Source organism: Homo sapiens, chromosome 1, assembly GCF_000001405.40.
Source record: "Homo sapiens chromosome 1, GRCh38.p14 Primary Assembly".
NCBI lineage: Eukaryota > Metazoa > Chordata > Mammalia > Primates > Hominidae > Homo > Homo sapiens.
Window position 1 is genome coordinate 108,579,938 of NC_000001.11, and position 21,486 is coordinate 108,601,423.

At 38.6% G+C, this 21,486-nt stretch overlaps 1 protein-coding gene across 1 annotated transcript in view; it reads left to right on the forward strand.

Moving 5' to 3' along the window:
• The window catches only part of EEIG2 (EEIG family member 2), a 79,223-nt gene that overhangs the window by 19,838 nt on the left and 37,899 nt on the right, over positions 1 to 21,486 (forward strand). The window contains exon 2 of the mRNA NM_001010883.3: positions 20,629 to 20,749. Within this exon, the coding sequence (NP_001010883.2) occupies positions 20,629 to 20,749 (121 nt within the window). The remainder of the gene's footprint in view (positions 1 to 20,628; positions 20,750 to 21,486) is intronic.

The following is a 21,486-nucleotide window of genomic DNA, read 5'->3' on the forward strand; positions in this document are numbered from 1 at the left end:
ATTTTTCTGTAGAGACAAGGTCATGCTATGTTGCCTGGGCTGGTCTCGAGCACTTGGCCTCAAGCCATCCTCTCACCTAAGCCTCCCAAAGTGCTGAGATTACAAATGTGAGCCACTGTGCCTGGCTCAGTGCTATTTTTCCAACAGTGTGAGCTCACTTCATATCTCTAGGTCACTTTTTGGTAGTTTTTGCAGCATTTCAAACTTTTTCATTATTGTTACAGCTCTTATGATGATCTGTAATTAGTGATCTTTGATGTTACTGTTGTAATTGTTTTGGGGAGCCATGAACTGCACCCATAGAAGGTGGCGAACTTAGTAGTGTTGAGTGTGCTCTGACTGCTCTACTCACTGGCCATTCCTTCATCTCCCTTCCCCTTCTGGGACCTCCCTATTCCCTGAGACAAAACAATATTAAAATTAGGCTAATTAACCCTACAATGGCCTCTAAATGTTCAAGTGAAAGGAAGAGTTGCACTTCTCTCACTTTAAGTCAAAAGCTAGCAATGATTAAGCTTAGTGAGGAAGGCATGTTGAAAGCTGAGATAGGCCAAAAGCTAGGCCTCTTGCACTGAACATTTAGCCAAACTCTGAATGCAAAGGAAAGGTTGTAGAAGGAAATTAAAAGTGCTGCTCCAATGAACACATGAATGATAAGGAAGTATAACAGCCTTATTGCTGATATGGAGAAAATCTTAGTGGTTGGACAGAAGGTCACACCAGCCACAATATTCCCTTAAACCAAATTCCCTTAAGCCTACTCCCTAACTCTCCTCAAGTCTATGAAGTCTAAGAGGTGAGGGAAGTGCAAAAGAAAAGTTTGAAGCTAGCATAGGTTGATTCACAGGGCTTAAGGAAAGAAGCCATTTCCATAACATAAAAGTGCAAGGTGAAGCGGCAAGTGCTAAAGTAAGAGCGCAGCAACTTATCCAGAAGATCTAGCTAAGATCATTGATGAAGGGGGCTATGCTAAACAACAGATTTTCAATGTAGACAAAACAGCCATCTAAGACTTTTGTAGCTAGAGAGAAGTCAATGCCTGGCTTCAGAACTTCAAATGACAGGCTCACTCTCTTGCTAGGAGCTAATGCAACTAGTGACTTTCAGTTGAAGCCAGTGGTCACTTATCAATGTGAAAATCCTAGGGTCCTTAAGAATGATGCTAAGTCTACTCTGCCTGTGCTCTATAAATAGAAGAACAAAGCCTGGATGACAGCACATCTATTTACAGCATAGTTTACTGAATATTTTAAGCCCACTGTTGAGACCTACTGCTCAGAAAAAAAAAGATTCCTTTCAAAATATTACTGCTTATTGGCAATACACCTAGTCCCCAAGAGCTCTAATGAACATGTACAAGATAAATATTGTTTTCATGCCTGCTAAAACAACATTCATTCTGCAGCTTGTGGATCAAAAAGTAATTTTGACTTTCAAGTCTTGTTATTTAAGAAATACATTTTGTAAGGCTGTTGCTGCCTTAGATAGTGATTCCTCTGATGGACCTGAGTAAATTAAATTGAAAACCTTCTGGAAAAGATTTACCATTCTAGATGCCATTAAGCACATTTGTGATTTATGGGAGGAGGTCAAAATACCAACATTAACAGGAGTTTGGAAGAAGTTGATTTCGGTCCTCATGGATGACTTTGAGGGAGTCAAGACTTCACTGGCTGCAGATGCGGTGAAAATAGCAAGGGAACAAGAATTAGAAGTGGAACCTGAAGATGTGACTGAATTGCTGCAATCTCATGATTAAAACTCGAATGGACAATGAGGTGCTTCTCTACATATGAGCAAAAAAGTGGTTTATTGAGATGGTATCTATTCCTAGTGAAGATACTGTGAAAATTGTTAAACTCACAGCAAAGGATTTAGAATAGTTCATAAACCATAAACTTAATAAAGCAGCAGGGTTTGAGAGGATTTTTAATTTTGAAAGAACTTCTACTGTGAGTAAAATGCTGTCAAACATCACATGCTACAGAGAAATATTTTATGAAAGGAAGAGTCTATTGATGCAGCAAATTTCCTTCTTCTCTTATTTTAAGAAATTGCCACAGCCACCCCAACCCTTAACAACCACCACCCTGTCAGTCAGCAACCATCAACATCAAGGTTTGCTACCAACAAAAAGATTACTACTCACTGAAAGCTGAGATGATTGTTGGCATTTTTTAGCAATAAAGTATTTTTAAATTAAGGTATATACATTTTTTAGACATAATGCTGTTATACACTTAATAGACTAAAATATAGTGTAGACATAGCTTCTTTATGCACTGGGAAACCAAAAAATGAATGTGACTCACTTTATTGTGATATTTGCTTCACTGCGGTGGTCTGGAAGTGAACCCATAATATCCCTGAGGTATGCCTGTATTCCAGGCCATTGAACTATTTATATTATTCTTCACTGCAATTTTTTTACATTATGAGATTATTTTTTAGTGTTTATTCTATTATCTACACAAAGTATAAAGATTGTAATAGCTATCTTAATTTGTATTAATCTGCCATAATATATATAGTGGCTATAATTTTTATTAAATTCAGTTTTTCAGGACTAGATTTTACATATCTAAATTCTGTTACGAATTCTTAATTTTTTTGTGGCAATTTATAGTCAGCAAATGCTATCATGTGTCATTTTAGCCAGTGAGTTTTATGTTTGTTATTACTACCAATAATAATCATCATGGTTTGGATAGAAGACTTAACAGAATTTTTTCTTTCTTAAGCAAATCCAAGAGAGAATTTTGAGCATTGCCCTCCAGCTCTGTAGCAGGGTTTAGGCAGCAAAGATCTTCAGGGTAGAAATGTCCTGCTTTGGGGTAGGACAGAAACAGACTTGATAAGCGCATGAACAGATACATTGCAGAGAATATGGTAGCTGAGTGGGGGAGCAGAGTAGAGCATATTTGGGGGATGCAGTGAAGGACAAGACTGGAAAGGTCCTCTGGGAACCAGAATTTGGCAGGCCTTGGGTGCAGTCACATGAAGATGATTTTATTCTTTAGGTAATATGATTTGAACCCCCCACACACACTTTCTCCTGATCAGCATACAAAATGTGGAAAATATATAAAATTAGAAGAAAATGTTACCTATCAGAGGTAATCACTGCTAATATCTTAAAATATAGCTTTCCAGTGTCTTCCATTTTGTGTTTTACACAGTTGAAACCAAATTACATACATAATTTTTTATGCTGCCTTTTGTTTTTTGTTTTTTTTTGAAACAGGGTCTCACTCTGTCATCCAGGCTGGAGTGCAGTAGCACAGTCATAGCTCACTGCACCCTTGACCTCCCTGGGCTTAGGTGATCCTCCTGAGTAGCTAGGACTACAGGTGCACACCACCACACCTGCTAATATTGTATTTTTTTTGTAGAGATGGAGTTTCACCACATTGTCCAGGCTGGTCTTGAACTCCTGAGCTCAAGCAATCCACCTACCTTGATCTCCCAAAGTGCTGGGATAGGAATGAGCCATTGTGTCCAACCCTCCTGCTTTTTTTTTTTTTAACTGAACATTGTAATATAAGCATGTACCATGTTACTAAAAACTTTAGTATATTTATTTCAATAATACTATGCATATTCTTTAATGGATGGAGTGTAAATTAAGTAACAGTTCTTCTGTTTTGGTTATTACTGTTGTTTCCTACGTATTCCCTTTATTGCTAATTCTGTGCTGTTAAACATTTGAGTGTAAGAAGCAAGTGAGGTATATGACAGTATGTGGTAAGTGGCTGAAAGTTTAAGTCTGAAAACAGACATAAACTGTTAGGATTGCAGAATAGTTAGGATCGCAAACCTAGATTTTAAGATAATCCACCGGGACAAGATAATAAAGCCAACGATAGTATGCAGGACAAAACACAAGGGCCAGAGGACAGAACCTTGGTAGAAAAAGACCTAATTAGGGCCAATGAGACCAAACATTGGGGAGGTATGTGGTATCACAGAAGCTAACTATGGAAAGTACGTTAGAGGACAGGGTGTTCAGCTCTGCCATAGCGTAGAGAGATGGGGTAATATGAGAGATGCTCTGTTTATTTGGCAATCAGCAAGTCTTCAGGGAATTCTGAGAGAAAAGTTTCAATGGAGTTGTAGGAACAGAAACCAGGTTTCAAGGGATTAGAGAGCAAGCAGGTGGTGAAGGAGCAGAAGTGTGGAGTGTAACTTCTTTTGGAAGCCCTGTTAATGAAGAAAAGGAGAAAAATGCAATTGGGTAAAAGAGACAAGAATAAACAGCAATATTTTATTTATTTTTAGGAGAAGGACTTGAACATGATTATACATTGAGGCAAAGGATTAGTGTAAATGAAAATAGGGATACAAATATTAAAAACAAACTCATGATTGAGAGTCTGTATGCTTTCTTAAAAAATATTTTTTTTTCTGTCCTAAAACCTGATTACTAGTTTAAGAAGAAATTCCCAGACTTTTCCTAATCAAATGCTATTTCCAAGCATTGTGGCTTAAAAACTGGCTTACACCCAAGACTTATTTTATCTTACTGAAATGAGGAACTACCCATAGTATCGATTTTGGACTTTGCATGTTTGCTTTGTTTTATTTAAGTGAGTCATCGCTAGCATAGCATAAGAATAAACGCATTTAGTGACATTTTATTTCTAGTTAACATTTTCTGTATTTCCTTGTTCGCAGATTACAACCACCTTTCAATGGCAGTTTCTGAGAATTCTCTAGTGCTGGTGTCTAAACATGGTTATTAACATTTTATCTGCTATTTTTACCTTTTTGAGGCCAGTTCAGGTTACCATAAGGTTTTGTATTGTTAAAGTATCACGTCTGTGTACCATCCCAGGCATCTTTATGGTTAACAAATGACTTACAGGAAGTGTACCTGAATATCTTATGTGGACAGTTCTGTGGACATCACTATTTCCTTTATGTATGAGGCAGAAATACATAGAAATAGCTTTAGAAATAGCCTCAGGAAGTAGTTAGAAAAGATTATTCATAGTCCTTCCAAAAAAAGGTAATTGGTTGCAAGATTTTGCTTTAAACTAAATTAATAACCTCTTATAAGCAATCATAAATTACCTTTATAATTTCTGTTAATAGAAAAGTAAACAAAATCATCAAACTAGGAATACAGATAATATGCATTTGTAATTATACACAATTGAAAACTGTAACTTCCGTCATTATGCTAATCAAGTGTAAGCCTTCCTGAAGCAACTAGGAACTCAGTAATAACTGCAATATTAGCTCTTACTGTTTGCTCATTCAAGAAACTGAAAATTATTACCAACTGGTAGTAAGTCAAAATGAATTCAAGAGCTATTTTTGCTAAGATAACTTATATAAACCCTAGCTGCCACATGACTCTCTGCTGGTACTGTATTGCCTTCAAAGGAACATCAGTCCGGCATTCAAAATAATTAAGAAGCTATTTTAACTGTTTGTTAGAGTTTCTCTAACCTACCCTGCTCCCTCTGGGGTTTCCTTCTATGTGAGGAGTGGTGTCAGATGGGTCAAGTAACACAATATAAGGCATAAACATGAAATCTGTTTACACTGACTGTAATCAATATCAGCAGGAGATACCACAGCAGGTCTGTGCCACTCAAGGAAGGTCCCAGCATGTATGCTCACTACAGTCCTTTTATATACAGCCATCTATAATCTCATCCTTTTACCAATGCATATGATCCCTTCCATCTCCTCCCCAGACCTTCCTTCAAAGTAGAGCTATATTAATAGTAGGCTGTGCTGCTGTGCCTTTGATTATAAGTTACTTCATCCGCATAAGTGCTGAATTATTGTAATATCATTAGTGTAAGGATAAGCAAGACAACCAGAGCAGAGCCTTCATAGTACAGTTTGTAATAACTCTTTGTGCTGTTTTGTCATACCCTGGCCATGTCGTTGGCTCATTTCTCTCTTGATCTCAAGAATGTAAACACCCTACCATCTTCTTACCTGTATTTCCAAGTATGTCTTGGTGACCCGAACATATTCTTTTGAACTTACTGTTTAATATTCCTGTTCCAGAAAACTGATACATTTTCCTCCTCTGATATTATAGAGTTCCTTTTTGATAATTATACTTGTGAAAATACCAACGGAGGAATACTTTCATAATATGTAGCAGTATTTTTCACAGTACTGGAGGATGGCAAAATTAATAATAATACATAGCAAAAATTTCATTAAACTCCTATTTCCCTTACTCTCAGTAGCTTTCATTTGCAAGGCAGCTACTCCAGACATGCATGCAGAAGACTCCAGGAGTTTTTAGGAACCAGAGAATCATTTTACCCAAGGACTCAGGAAATGCATCATAGGAAAAGCTTTTGAGCAATGTCTTGAATTATATAACACTTGGTGGTTTACGCAGAGGGGTGTGTGTGTGTGTGTGTGTGTGTGTGTGTGTGTGTGTGTAATGCCATTTAATTTAGTAAGTTTTTATAAGCATTTTAGATCCAGACAACATATGTTTACCAATTTGTACCTAACTATAAAACATTTCATAAGAGGAAATTTATACAGAGGAGAATAATTACAAATTACTTTCAACATCCCTTCAGTGTTGAAATTAAACTTGAGCTCAGATCTGCTGAGTCTAAAATTTGTTCCCTCCTCTTTTTACCATGTGGGTGAGGCTGGATACTAGGAAAGGATAAGAAGACATTTGGGAGGGCATCCTAAAGGATGGGAAAACCACGAAGGCAGACATGCAGGTGCATAGTGCCAGGGCAGAAAATAGTGAAGAACTGTAGGGGCGCAAATTTGAGAGGTTGAAGGAAGAAGATTGAATACTAGCTGAAGAGTTTGGTTTTTCGTGTACATACATAAGAAGCCATAAATTTATTGATCTGGAAACTGGCTGATTGGAGCTGTAATTGAAGAAACTGTTTACAACTATTATTTTCCCACACCTTTTTAGAATATTTAGAAAGAATAAGTCTTTTTGTTCAAAAGTAAAGTCTCTTTGGAAGAACAAGTAACCTACTAATTTGGTTTCTTGCCTTTTCTTGATTTGTTATTTAAATTTCCTACACAACACCAATGTACATTTTCCTGTTTCTTAAGATCTAACTTGTAATTCATTTTTCATTTCTTCAAGTGTTTTATTCAGAAAGGGTACCTGGGTGATAGTTTTTTGCCTAAGAGTTATCTTTCTTTCTCCTTCCTACACAATGCTTAGTTTGGGCTGGTGTAGAATCCATAGTTCATATCAACTTCTGGGTTTTGTGAAGTTATTTATTCCCTGTGTCCTTGTTTTTAAGAGTTGTGGAGAACATATTTTCATTTCTATGTGCATAATCTGATTTTGAATAGACTGTTTTTTAGAGCAGTTTTAGCATCACAGAGAAATTGAGTGGAAGGTACAGAAATGCCTCCTATACCTCCTGTCCCCACATACACACAATATCCCCCAGCTATTAATATTCCTAACCAGAGTGGCGCATTTGTTACAGTTGATGAACCTTCCTTGACGCAGCATCATCTAAAGTACTTTAAAGTTTACGTTAGGCTTCACACTTGGTGTTGTCCATTCTGTGTTTTGACAAATGTATAATGACATGTACCCACCATCATAGCATCATACAGAGAAGTTTCACTGCCCTAAAAATCCTCTGTGCTCCACTTGTTCATCCCTCCTACTCCCAACCCCTGGCAATCACTGATTCTTTTCTATCTGCACAGTTTTGCCTTTTCCAGTATGTCATAGTTCATAAGCTAATTTTAATTTCCTATATCCTTGCAGGATTTTTACCTTATCCGTAGGAAAATTTTGTGTAGCTTTCATCAGATTTCCCAGTCTATGATGTGTATTCTGAAATTTTCGGTATGAAGTCTTTCCTTCAATTAATCTAGGAATGTTTTTTTCTCCTGTTACTTCATTTTTATTGTGTCCTCTGCATCTATATTGTTCTAGAAAGTGGAGAGGTGATGCTATGTAGAATTTGCATAGTTAGAGCAAAATAAATTTTGTGAGTTTGAGTTTTTTAGGTTCCACATATAAGTGAGATTATGTGATATTTGTCTTTCTGTGCCGGGGTTATTTCACTTAGCATAATATCCTCCTGGTTCATCTATGTTGTCACAAATGGCAGGATTTCCTTCTTTTTTAAGGCTGAATAATATTCCATTTATGTATATACATCCCACATTTTCTTTATCCATTCATCTGTTGATGGACATTTACGTTGTTTCCATATTTTGTCTCTTGTGATTAATGATGAAATGAACATGGGGGTGCAGATATCTCTTCAAAAAACTAATTTAATTTCCTTTGGATATATACCCAGATGTGGAATTGCTGGGTTATATCATGGTGCTATTTTTTATTTTTTGAGGAATATCCATACTGTTTTCCAAACTGTACCAATTGGCATTCTCACCAGCGGTGTGAAAGGGTTCCCTTTTCTGCATATCCTCACCAACACTTTGTCTTTTGTCTTTTCGATAATATCCATTGTAATTGATAGGAGTGTTAACTCATTGCGGTTTTGATTTGCATTTCTCTGATGATTAATGATGTTGAGCATCTTTTCACATACTTCTTGGCCATTTGTATGTCTTCTTTTTTTATTGTAAATTGACAATTTGTAATTGTATAAGTTTATGGTATAAAAAGAGATGTCATAATTTATGAATACAATGTGGGATAAACTAGTTAATGTATTCATCACCTCAGATACTTGATGTTTTTTGTGGTAACATTTGAAATTTACTCTCTTAGTGTTTGTCTTCTTTTGAGAAATCTCTATTTGAGTCCTTAGCCTATTTTTTAATCAGGTTATTTGACTTTTTTTTTTTTTTTGCTATTGAGTTGTATGAGTTTCTTATATATTTGGGATATTAACCCCTTATCAGCTATATGGTTTGTAAGGTTTGTAAATATTTTCTCCCCTCTGTAGGGGACATACGTTTTTTTAATGAAATTTTTCATCAAGACATCTGTCAGTCACTGAATAAAAACCCTGCATGAAGCTATAAGACTTTTTGTAATATAGAAGATTATAAACAAGTATTCAGCAAATATTCATTTGAGGTCCTACTGTGTGCCAATCAGTGCTATGTTTTTATATGAAATTTCTCATTAGAACAGTTCTAGACAATGAACAGTTGTCTACTGACAAAGTTCCTTGCATTAGAGCTCACTCTTTTCTTTTTATCTCCTCATGATGGAAGAGGAGCCTCTTCTCCTGTTCAGGGCCAGTCCCCCTAATTATCACCTGGATCCCATCGTCTGGCATTCTCAGGGATGAACCTCCTCTGGCACCATTATTCATACCCTCTCAAATCTTTTCTCCTTACTGTTAGTGCTGACAGGTTCTTTACTATCAGCACTAAACCATGCTTAAGTCTCTTCTTACATGTTAAAATGAAATCCTCACTTTATGCATATCCCCATTTGGCTGCCACCCTAATTTTCTCCACTTTATTACTAAAATATTTGAAATGTCTGTGTTCCCTGTCTCTGCTCCTCATAGTAATCCGGCTTCCATCCCTCCTTTTACTGAAACTACACTTGCTAGTGTTATTAGTGAATTCTTCATTGCTAAATTTTTTTTAGCCTTTATCTTACCTGACCTCTCTGCCACATTTGATAATTCAACAATTCTTTCTTTAAAGGTTTTCCCCTTGGCTTTGGTGACAACGTAATCTCCTTTGCTTCTCCCACTGTTGACGTGTTAGCCTCCTTTGCCTGTGCCCCTTCTTCTCGTATACCCTAAGTGTTCATGTTCCTTGGAGTTCCAAACTCTGCCCTCTTCCCTTTCTCCTCTACCCACTCTCCCTGAATGGCCTTATCCATTCCCATAGCTTCAGTGACTATTTACATGCTGAGGTCTTTTGTCCTTTTTTTTTTTTTTTTTTTTTTTTTGAGACAAGATCTCAGTTTGTCACCCAGTCTGGAGTACAGTGGTGCAGTCATGGCTCACTGCAGCCTCAAACTCCCAGGCTTAAGCAGTCCTCCCACCTCAGCCTCCCAAGTAGCTAGGATTATAGGTTTGAGCCATCATGTGCAGCCTGTCATTTACATTTGTATTTTCAGCCCTGACCACCTTTGAGTTCTAGGTCTGTGTATCTGTCTGCCTCCTAGACATTTCCAAATAGGGAACCCACAGGCTCCTCAACCTCAAAATATCCAAAACTGGATTATCATTTCCCTCACTCCCTAATCCCACTAGCAAAATGAGTGAGTGAATAAATAAGAAATAAATAAAACAAAATCTTCTTGTGTCCAATTCTTTTCACCCATTTACCCAAGCCAAAAATATCTCTGATGTATGAGATGTTCATTTATCCTTAGTGTTGTGTCACAATTTTGTAGATCTGACTTATCCTTGGAGTATTAAAATACTTATTTTTGCCTCTGTTCCCACAGGTTTCTTTTTTCTCAAGAGTCTGTATCTTTTAAGAAGTAGAAATCTTCATTAATATTGAAAAAAATCTTTCCTTATAAATTTGACCATTATTTCACTCTGGTGGGCAAATTGAGGTGGACTATATACATCCTTGATAATAACTTGTAACATTTATTATTGAGATACACTGTAAGCCAGGCACTGTTCTGAACTCTTGTGTGTAATAATTCATTTGGTTTCCCCAAATTCCCATGAGTTGTAGGTATTGTTACATCCTGTTTCACAGAGGAGGAAATGCAGAATGCAGAGAGGTTAGGAACGTGTCCAGCGTGACAGTTGGCAGGGAGCAGAGGCAGGATTTGAACACAAGCAGCCTGGCTCTGGATCCTTTAAGCTCTTAACCTCTATGCAATACTATCTGGCAAACAGTTTGCATTCTTCATAGCAGTTTCTTATCACTGTTTTTTAAAAAGTTAAAAATATACTGAATTACCAAGACATGGCATAATTTTAAATGTGTACCTAGGGTATACCTATGCAAGTTATTCGAGAATAAGTAATGCATTTTGCTGGTACAGTAGTCACAAAAAAATGGATCCATAATTTTCCTTTTATTTTACTTTTATTTTTTAAAGACTTTCTAGATTTTCTTTGACTCGTTTGAAACACAAGGCCATAGCAACATTTCTTCTGAGTCCTCTGCTTATTTTATGTCAGCAGCTGTATCACTTTATCTTAGAAATACTTGGGTTTTCACAGTATCAACACAAATCATATTCTGTTGCTTTGTTTCTGGAAAGTGGTTAAGCAACTGTATAAAAGTCATAGGAAATTAATGACTCACATAACGGAAACCATTTACTAATGTGACTTTTGTCTCAGATGCCAAGTAGTCTGAGTTTGTTTCCATGGTAACCCATCAGTATAACAAATGGTCGCAAACTAACTTTGCTACTTTTTTGGTTGTTTGTTTCATTTGGACAGCTTTCTGATAGCTGTGTGTGTGCGTGTGTGTACACATTAAAGATTATCACACACAAAAAAAATCTGAGTAATTGCCTTAGTTGCACAAACAAAACCTTTTTTTAGAGAGATTGTTTGAGAATCCAAGGCTATTTTGATGTTACAAAACGATAAAGATTACTTAACATATCTTTCTACTTCAGTTCCTATTAAGAAAGGGCACACAGTCATCAATTTTTAAGCCCATACATTTAAAAAATTCATTTATAATATTTGTTTATTTGAAATGTATCAATCATAGGAGACTCTGCCAGAAACAAGGCAGAGAGAACGGGAAATGAGGACACTGTCTTGGGAGACTGAAGACTGAGTGAATGATGGAAGAAGTGGAGGCAGCCAGCTCTTTCCTGCCCCTCCCTGGGGGACAGTGCTCTAGGGTAGGGAAAAGAGGACACTGAGAAGGGAACCAAGGCAGGCCTGGTCATATGGGACACCGAGTTGCAGAGAGATTTCTAGAGGAGGTAATGACAAAACTAGATGCGTTAGAATTAAACTGGTGAGTGCGGGAAGTTGAAAGGAGAGTGGATGGAATAGAAGGGAAAGAAAAAATCATGAACAAAGGCATGCAAATGAGAAATAGTGTGAAGTAAATGGGAATGACAAACAATATAAGACAGAAAGAAAGGGTCAAGAGATAAGACTAAAGACAGACAGGGGCTTAATCATAAAGAGGCCCCATTAAGGAGGTTGAACCTAATCCTATAAGAGGAAGCAGTGAAGGATTTTAAACAGAAATGACATTATCAAGTTTGTATTTTAAAAAGAGTTCTCTGGTAGCAATGAGGAAGATAGATCTGAGCGGGGACCATTAAGGAGGCTGTTGCCATGCTTCAGGGAAGAGATATTGAGAGTCTGAATTGTGGTGGTGCTAGACACAGGAAAGGGCTTGATTTACAAATAGGAAGTAACACAGGCAAGAATTGGTAGCTGGAACCAGTCATTTGTGGCCCATGCCTGACTTCAGTTATTCATTTGGTCAACAAATCTTTATTGTTTCCTGTGTTTGGCAAATGATTAGTGTTATGCTGTACTCTTTCCCACCTTCATCATTTCTGGATTTCTTCTCCATTAAGGATTCTTTGTTTGCACATCATGAGGTAATTAATAGACAACTGCACTTCGCATGGCTCTAGTTCATCCCAACCTGATCTCTTGTCTTGGCTTATTTGACTTTCTTACTCACATAAGAACCTGTTTCAGAGTCCTAGCACATTTGTCAGTCTACTACTTGGGAGGCAGTATCTATGTGTTCGGATAGGGGCTTATTGCCCAGGAAGTGAATCAGAGCTTATTTGTGTCTTCATTGGGTGGGACTCTACGGGTCATGAAAAATATGTACAATAGGTTCCAGTGTATTTCGTCTGTATACTTAAATGAGGGGAACAGGACTCTGGGATGGACCACCTACAACAATGTGAATAACATTTGAACTTTGCAGATTTGGAAATGGTAAGACTTAGTCTATGTCAGTTAGGATTTAGTTCAGCTGCATATAACAAAATCCAAAATAAGCATTTTAAATAATAAGATTTAAGAAGTTTGGGCTGGGTGTGGTGACTTGGCCAGGCATGGTGGCTCTCGCCTGTAATCTCAGCACTTTGAGAGGCCAGGGTGGGCGGGTCACTTGAGTTTAGGAGTTTGAGATGAGCCTGGCCAACTTGGTGAAACCCCATCTCTACAAAAAATACAAAAATTAGCTAGGCATGGTGGCACACACCTGTAGTCCTAGCTACTCGGGAGGCTGAGACAGAAAAATTGCTTGAACCTGAGAGGTGGAGTTTGCAGTGAGCTGAGATCACACCACTGCACTCAGCCTGCATGACAGAGTGAGACTCTGTCTCCAAAAAAATAAAAAATAAATACATAAATAAAAGGAGTTTGGAGGGAGAAAGTCCAGGGCTACATGTTTCTTAGAGACCCACCTTCCTTCTGGCTCTGCACCATCATCACATGGCTTTTCCTGAGGGTAACCTCGAGGTCCAAAATGACTGATGAGAATCTAATCATCATCATGACAGTTTTCCAGGCAGAGGAAAGAATAAAAGGTAAAAGGGTATGTTTCAACTGTCCCTCTCTTACTCTGCCTTTCCAAAAGTTATACCCAATAACCTCCATTTATATCTCATTAGCTTATACTCCATCCCATGCCTACCCTGTAAGCTGCAAGGGAGGTCAGGAAAATGCAGTCTTTTAACTGGACATATTGCCAGTTTGAGTAAAATCAGGGTTCTCCTTTTAAGGAAGAAGAGAGACTGCATATTGGATAAGTAACTGACAGTTTTTGCCACATACGCTCCTGGGCAAACCATTTGACTAGTCAAGCTGGTAGGTTACTTACTAGCCTGCTAGGAAGTACCATGATAAACAGATGTCAGAGACCTAAAGCCTTATCTAGAGGCTAGGACTACTAGGTGGGTTCACCAGTTAACATGTTGATATATGAATCTGAGGACTAAAGAAGAAGACTTAGTTTTGTTTGTTTGTTTTGTTTTGTTTTGTTTGTTTTTTGAGATAAAGCCTCGCTCTGTTGCCCAGGCTAGTGTGCAGTGGCGCAATCTCAGCTCACTACAGCCTCAACCTCCTGGGCTCAAGCAATCCTCCCACCTCAGCTGCCCGAGAAGCTGGGACCACAGGCGTACACCACCATGCTCAACTAATTTTTATATTTTTTTTGTAGAGATGAGGTTTCACCATGTTGCCCAGGCTGGTCCCGAACTCCTGAGCTCAAGCAATCCGCTTGCCTTGGTCTCCGAAAGTGCTGGGATTACAAGCATTGAGCCACCGTGCCCAGCCTGAGGACTTAGATTTTTAAGTTCTCAGTACATGCATAATAGTTAAGTCCATCAGAGTAAAAAAAATGAGAAAGCCGCCAAGGACAGAAGCTTGGTGGACATCAACATTTTAAGGAGACAGGAGCAAGAAACTGCAAAGAAATAGTCACATAAATACCAAGGACAAGAATATTGTAAGAATGTATAAGAAGGGTCAAGTATGATACTAAAAAATTACCCTTGGATTTGACAATTAGTTACTTACTCATGAGCAGTTTCAGTGGAATTGTGCGGGGTAGAAGCCTGATTAAGAGGGACTGAAAAGTAACTGGGAGGTGAGGAGATGGAAAATGTCTATACTGTAGAGACAGTTCTTCAAATTTCAGTTCCAACCTTTCCTGCTGAGTGACCTTTGACAAGTCACATAATTTCTGTGTATCTTAGTTCCTTTATCTATAAAATGGAGTTAGTAGTACCCTCCCCATATAGTTGCTTTGAGGATTTAGTAGTTAATATGTGTAATTTTTAATATGTGTATTTATAACAATGCCTGTAATAATAATCACTCAATAAGTGCTGTCATCATTATCCTTAGTATCATCATCTTCAGGGAGCTTGGACCTGAAGGCAGAGTGATAGTAAGTAGGTGAGGACATGGAATTGTGGGAAGTGTATTTTTTCCCGTAAGATTAAAAGACATGTCCTGTATGAAAACCAGTTCTCTATCTCTATTTTACACTGTAATTCCAATTACCTGTCCATATTTATAATGCTGTGCTGAAGTTTCTTAATCTCTTGTTTTTTTCCCCAAGCCCATCAAACTTAATGTTGGCTTCCTCCACTCTCTAACTAAACTAGATTAATATTTCTGCTAATATTTCTTTCCTGCTTGTCTGGTTTGTTTCTTAAAAAAAAATTCACATACAGAGTTCACTTGATTTCTTTGGTTTTTATTACTCAGGCGAAAGCTGCCCTCCATTTGTGCAAATAATAACATATACGATTAGGCATGTAAAAGCTACTACATTATAAGGGCATTTAAAGTATTTATATATTAGTATTGCCAAGGAATTCCACTTATTTCACAAACAAATGAAATGTGACAGTCATGCTGCTGTACTTCAGCCTGGGCAGCAAAGCAAGACCCCATCTCAAAAGAAAGGAATTAAGGGAAGGAGGGATGGAGAGAGGGAGGGAAAGAATAAAGAGAAGGAAGAAGGGAGGGAGGGAGGGAAAGAATGAAGGAAGGAAGGAAGGAAAATGTAGTGGCTTTTACAGAGGGAGAGAGGGAAGGAGGGAGGGAAGGAAGGAAGGAGCGAGCTTTTACAGAGGGAGAGAGGAGGAAAGGAGGGAGGGAGGGAAGGAGGAAGGATGGAAGGAAGGGAGGGGGGAAATGTAGCAAGTTTTACATGCCTAATTGTATGGAGAAAGGGAGGGAGGGAGGAAAAAAATGTAGCTTTTACGGAGGGAGAGAGGGAGAGAGGGAGGAAAGGGAGGGTGGGAGGGAGATGTAGTAGCTTTTACATGCCAAGGGAAGGAAGGGAGGGAGGGAGGAAGATGTAATAGCTTTTACATGCTGGAAGGAGGGAGGGAGGGAAATGTAGTAGCTTTTACATGCCAAGGGAAGGAAGGGAGGGAGAGAGGGAGATGTAATAGCTTTTACATGCTGGAGGGAGAGAGGAAGGGAGGGAAATGTAGTAGCTTTTACATGCCTAATCGTATATGTTATCATTTGCACAAATGGAGGGCAGCTTTGGCCTGAGTAATAAAAACCAAAGAAATCAAGTGAACTCTGTATGTGAATGTTTCTTTTAAGAAACAAACCAGACAAGCAGGAAAGACGTATTTGCAGAAATATTAATCTAGTTTAGTTAGAGAGTGGAGGAAGCCAACATTAAGTTTGATGGGCTTGGGGAAAAAACAAGAGATTAAGAAACTTCAGCACAGCATTATAAATACAGACAGGTAATTGGAATTACAGTGTAAAATAGAGATAGTGAACAGGAAGTAAGGGAGGCAGGGATTAGGACTTTGCTTTTTAAGATACCATCCAATTTTCATGTTAGACAATAAAGAAAATTCTTAGTGGGTTTTTTTTTTTTAGCAATTAGGAAAAAAAGGCATCTAAAGTTATATACTTCTGTTCCCATTTTTAGATTATTCAGTACTTGACAATGTTTTTGAATTTGTTTTTATTTTAACAAAGTCATAAATACTAATAATTTAGAGTCTAAGTTCCACAAGGCATATTATGGAAAAGCACAGTCCCCAACAACCGACCTGTTTCTCACATGGCCCAACAGGGAAGGAGCCAGGAGAATAAATGCATCAGCTTCCCTCCCTTCCTGCCCTCTATCCTTGCAATGTTTGTCACTTTAGCACAATCGGAGGTAGAGGGCAAGGGAGCTTGGTTGATGTAATTCATAAGACTGGCGTCCTGGACCACAGAGAAGGGTAGAGTGAATCTGGAATGATAAAATATCAAGCCCACTAGTTTGGATTTCCATGAGCACTTTAATTCCCTGTATGCTTTTTTTAAAAATATAGCATCCTATTCCTGTATGGTAGATGCAGTTTCTTTTTTATATCACTCAGAAATTTTTTTATTCTTCAAGCACAGGCTCTGTTTTGTTCAAGTTGCTATTTTTCTGTTTTTTTGTTTTTTTTTTTAAGACTGTATCTTGCTCTGTCACCCAGACTGGAGTGCAGTGGCACACTCATGGCTCACTACAGCCTTGAACTGTTGGACTCAAGTGATTCTCCTGCCTCAACCTTTTGAGTAGCTGGGACTACAGGTGCACGCCACCATAAGTTGTAAATTTTTTGTTGAAACAGGGTCTCCTTTGTTGCCCAGGCTGGTCTCAAACTCCTGGCTCAAGGGACCCTTCCACCAGCCTCTCAAAGTGCTGGGAATACAGGCATGAGCCCCTGCAACCAGCCAAGTTAGTTTTTTTCTATTCATCTTGGTTTCTTTCATATTAAGAGACTTTCCTCACTTATCTGCCCATATTTAACTATGAAGCACTAAAAGTTGATTAGGAGCTCTGTGTATGTGGCAGGTGCTTGTCATCTCAGATTTTTATTGTAGGCTGATTTGGCTGGCTGTGTCATTGGGAACCCTCAACATCTGTCTCATGAAATCTTTTCTTTGAGGCTGGTTGGATTCCCCAGAGAATATTCTTCCCACATTTTGAAGAACAGGTGCCTGGTTCTGGCATTGTGAGAAGCCAGGTTAGGGGAAGAAGGTTGGAAGTCTCAGCATTAAGTCATCTTTCATTACCCCAGCCAGCATGCTTTTGTGCTCTTTGTGCTCTTTCTGATACCTGCCCTCACTTCAGGCTGTCCAGAGATCCTTCTGTTTCATCTTATCAGGAGAATACATCTCAGTCATCTGCAGGAGTCAGGGAAGGAGAGGTCTGCAGTCTGACTATTTCCAAAACAGTTTTTGATCAATCCTCTGCTGTGTCCCTCCTTCATTCGACTTCAAAACCTGTTTAAGTTTCCTTCTCTTGGCTTTTACTATTGCCAGCATGAGGTTCAAATTTCCTCAGTATGCTAAACTAGTTATCACTTGTCTGTCTGTCTCTGGCCACTTATTTTTGTCTCTAGTTCTCTTTGTCCCTGTGAGATAATGCCTTTGCTTGTTTTTATTTAGTAGGTTTGGGGAGGGAGCAGAGGCTAATACATGCACTCAACCTGCCATGTTTAACTATAAATTTGTATATAATTTTGTAAGAAAAGTAAAAGAGTTTTATTGTAAATGTTATTTCTTGATATCTGATCATATATCAGTGGTCTCAGTGACAGCAACAACCAAGCGCCTTGATGCTCAGTGGACCCTGAAGGGTCCAGGACATCAGTGTTTATATCTCCTTGTTGGGAGCTCCGGACACCATAGCTGATGCCTCCAGCAAGCCTTGAGGCCAAGAGATGTTGGGAGAGAAGCAATAATAAAAAATTCTAGGCCGGACACCGTGGCTCACATGTGTAATAGCAACAGTTTGGGAGATCGAGGTGGCCAGATTGCTTGAGGCCAGGAGTTTGAGACCAGCCTGGCCAACATGGTGAAACCCCGTCTCTACAAAAATACAAAAATTAGCCAGGCATGGTGGTGCACACCTGTAATCCCAGCTACTGTTCAGTAGGCTGAGGCATGGGAATTGCTTGAGCCCAGGAGGCGGAGGTTGCAGTGAGCCAAGATTGCACCAGTGCACTCCAGCCTGGGCGACAGAGCAAGACCCTGTATCCAAAAAAAAAAAAAAAAAAAAAAAATCTGGATTTTTTTTTTCTTGCTTATTTTTATTACTATTCACAGTTTTTTAAATGTATTTATTTTTGAGTGTACAGGTTAGCAACTGCCCTCCTTACCAGGGAGTCCTCCAGCTGCCTGACAAGTACCTCCAGGTCCATCCTTTGTCAAATAACACTTATCTCGCCTGCATTGTGACCATACCAATAAATTACACCCTGCCTGGATTTCAAGGGAGACTCCACTGTGAACCCACACATACATTCTTCATATCATGATTCATTAAATCACTTAAGGGTTCCTAAGGAAAAAAAATGGCCAAAGTTATCATAGTAGAACTGGTGGTAGAATGCATGCCCTCCTCTCCCATTTGTGTGTCTGTTTAGAACATAAAAGTAAACAAAAGTGCACATATGACACACAAATACATACTTGATTTTTAAATTATGTTTGCTTTTTTTTTATAATTCCTGTTCTTGGATTTCTGTGTACTGATGGAGAAATCAGAAAAACCAGGCCAGGTGGCTTACACCTGTAATCCTAGCACTTTGGGAGGCTGAGACAAGAGTATCGTAATCCTGACACTTTGGGAGACTGAGACAGGAGTATCACTTGAGCCCAGGAGTTTCAGACCAGCCTGGATAACATAGAGAGACCCATCTTTACCAAAAATACAAAACTTGGTTGAGTGTGGTAGTGTATGCCTATGGTCCTAGCTACTTGGGAGGCTGAGGTGGGAAGATCTCTTTGGCCTGAGAGGTCAAGGCTGCAGTGAGTTGTGACTGCACCACTGCACTCCAGCCTGGGTGACAGAGTGAGAGCCTGTCTCAAAAACAACAACAACAAAAAAAAAACAACTGATAGATCGTAATAAAAATCTATTTTATTCCCTGAGGCAGCTATAAGTTTGACTGCCTGTCACATTCACCACAGCAGTTTTCCTGTCTCTAAGCCTTTATCTAAATTTTCAACTCACCTACCAGTCCTATCACTCCGTAGATATGACTTATTACTCCCCTAAGAAAATCAAAACTGTTCAACCTGGGCTCTCTTGCCGTTCTCTTTTGCTTTCTCTAGTTTTCTCTTTATTTCATCTGTTATCTTTGTCTCTTTCCTATGTTAGAGGAATGGTTATCTTTTTCTAAGGCTGAGCACCCCCCCACCCCAATACCTACATACGACAGCAGAGAGAACAGTATGTACAAAGGCCTGGGAGCTTGAAAGAGCAAAGTTGTGGAAAAATACAGATTCTCCTTTGTGGACAAGTGGGCTTTAGATTTAAACAGGCCTAGTTTGAATGCCAGTTCTTCTCTACCACCTCCTACTTAAATGACCTTGAGTTCACTTCTCTCATCACACTTCATTTTCCTTATCTTTAAAGTGACGAGGCTCACGCCTATGATCTCAGCACTTTGGGAGGCCGAGGCAGGTGGATTACCTGAGGTCAGGAGTTCAAGACCAGCCTGGACAACATAGCCAAACCCTGTCTCTTAAAAACACAAAAAAATTAGCCTGGCGTGGTGGCAGGTGCCTGTAATCCCAGCTACTCAAGAGGCTGAGTGAGGCAGGAGAATTGCTTGAATCCAGGAGGCGGAGGTTGCAGTGAGCGGAGATCACACCACTGCACTCCAGCCTGGGTGACAGAGGAAGACTCCGTCTCAAAATAAGTAAAGTGAAGAAAATGCCAGCTACTTCACAAGGTTGTTGGGAGATTTCATAGCATATGGTAAGCTCTCAATAAATGGTAGCTGTTCTTGCTGTTATGGCTGGAGTAAAACTATGACAGTAGTTCATCTTAAAATAAGAATTTGCTTATTCCTAGAATAAGCATTTGTTCATATTTATGCCTCTTGCATTAACTATGAATATAATCCCTACAAGGTCAGGAACTCTGTCCTCGTCTTTATGTTTTAAACATGTACCACATGCGCAGCATATAAAGTAAATGTACATTATGTGTTGAATGAATGAATGGTGTAGCCTAATGTATATTTTGATTGAATTGATAAGTAAATTCACTTTTTTTCCAGTTTCCAGTGGATAATTAAAACCTTCCAAAGATTTTCAGATCACATTGTTAGGAATTTGCTTCCTTCCTGCTACACTGTTTACAAATACTGGCTTTTAACACATTACTTTTGCATGTTAGACTTGAGTGAAAGTATGGGTGTGCTTTTTAACATGTCATCAATAATAGTTAATTAATTGGCTCTTTTTTTCTTTCCTTCAGGGAGGTGGTACAAGCAAACTGTGTTCGCTGGAGAAAGAAGTTCTCATTTATGTGCAAAATGAGTGCAAGTGCTGCCACAGGCATCCTAGATCCTTGTATCTACAGAGTATCCGTGAGGAAGGTATAAAAATAGCCTATTACTTCTTCCCTTTCAGAAACCATAATTAGTTCCGTAGTCACTGGCTGGCTTTGTTTATCTCTGCTTTATCTGTTTCATTAGAACTGTATATGCAGTTTCACTTCATGCTCGCTGCAGTAATTAAAATACCATGGCAAATATGATGAAGAATCTGAGGTTATAAATTAAAATTATTATTCAAGAACCTTCATCTCACTGTCACTATACGTATAAGTATTAATCTTACTTGTGTTAGTTTGGGGACTGTATATATCTATATCCACTATTTGTTAAATTCCTAGTTTTTATTAGGCATTGTTCTGGGAACTTTATGTGTAATATATCTAATAACCCTGAAATTAGGTGTTATTTTCTCCATTTTCAGGAAAACCAGGGCTCAGAGAAGTTACTTGCCCAAATTTACATAGTTAATAAATGGCAAAGTCGGGACTCAAACAGAGTTTTCTGACTCCAAGTCTGTTTTCTTTCCTGTATATTTTCTTTCCCAGTATTAGGTTGAAGCAAATTACCAATAATCTAAAAAAAAAATGGTAATTTCATATGGTTCAACTTTCTGTTTGTGTGTGTGTGTATGTGTTTGTGCGTGTGTGTGTGTATGCATGTGTTTTACTTACCAAAATAATACATATAATGGTCAAAAATTAAATAGAGAAGAAGGATTTAGAATGAAAGCAAGAGTCTCTGGCCTTGCTCTTTTCCACGCCAGTTCTGCGTCCTTG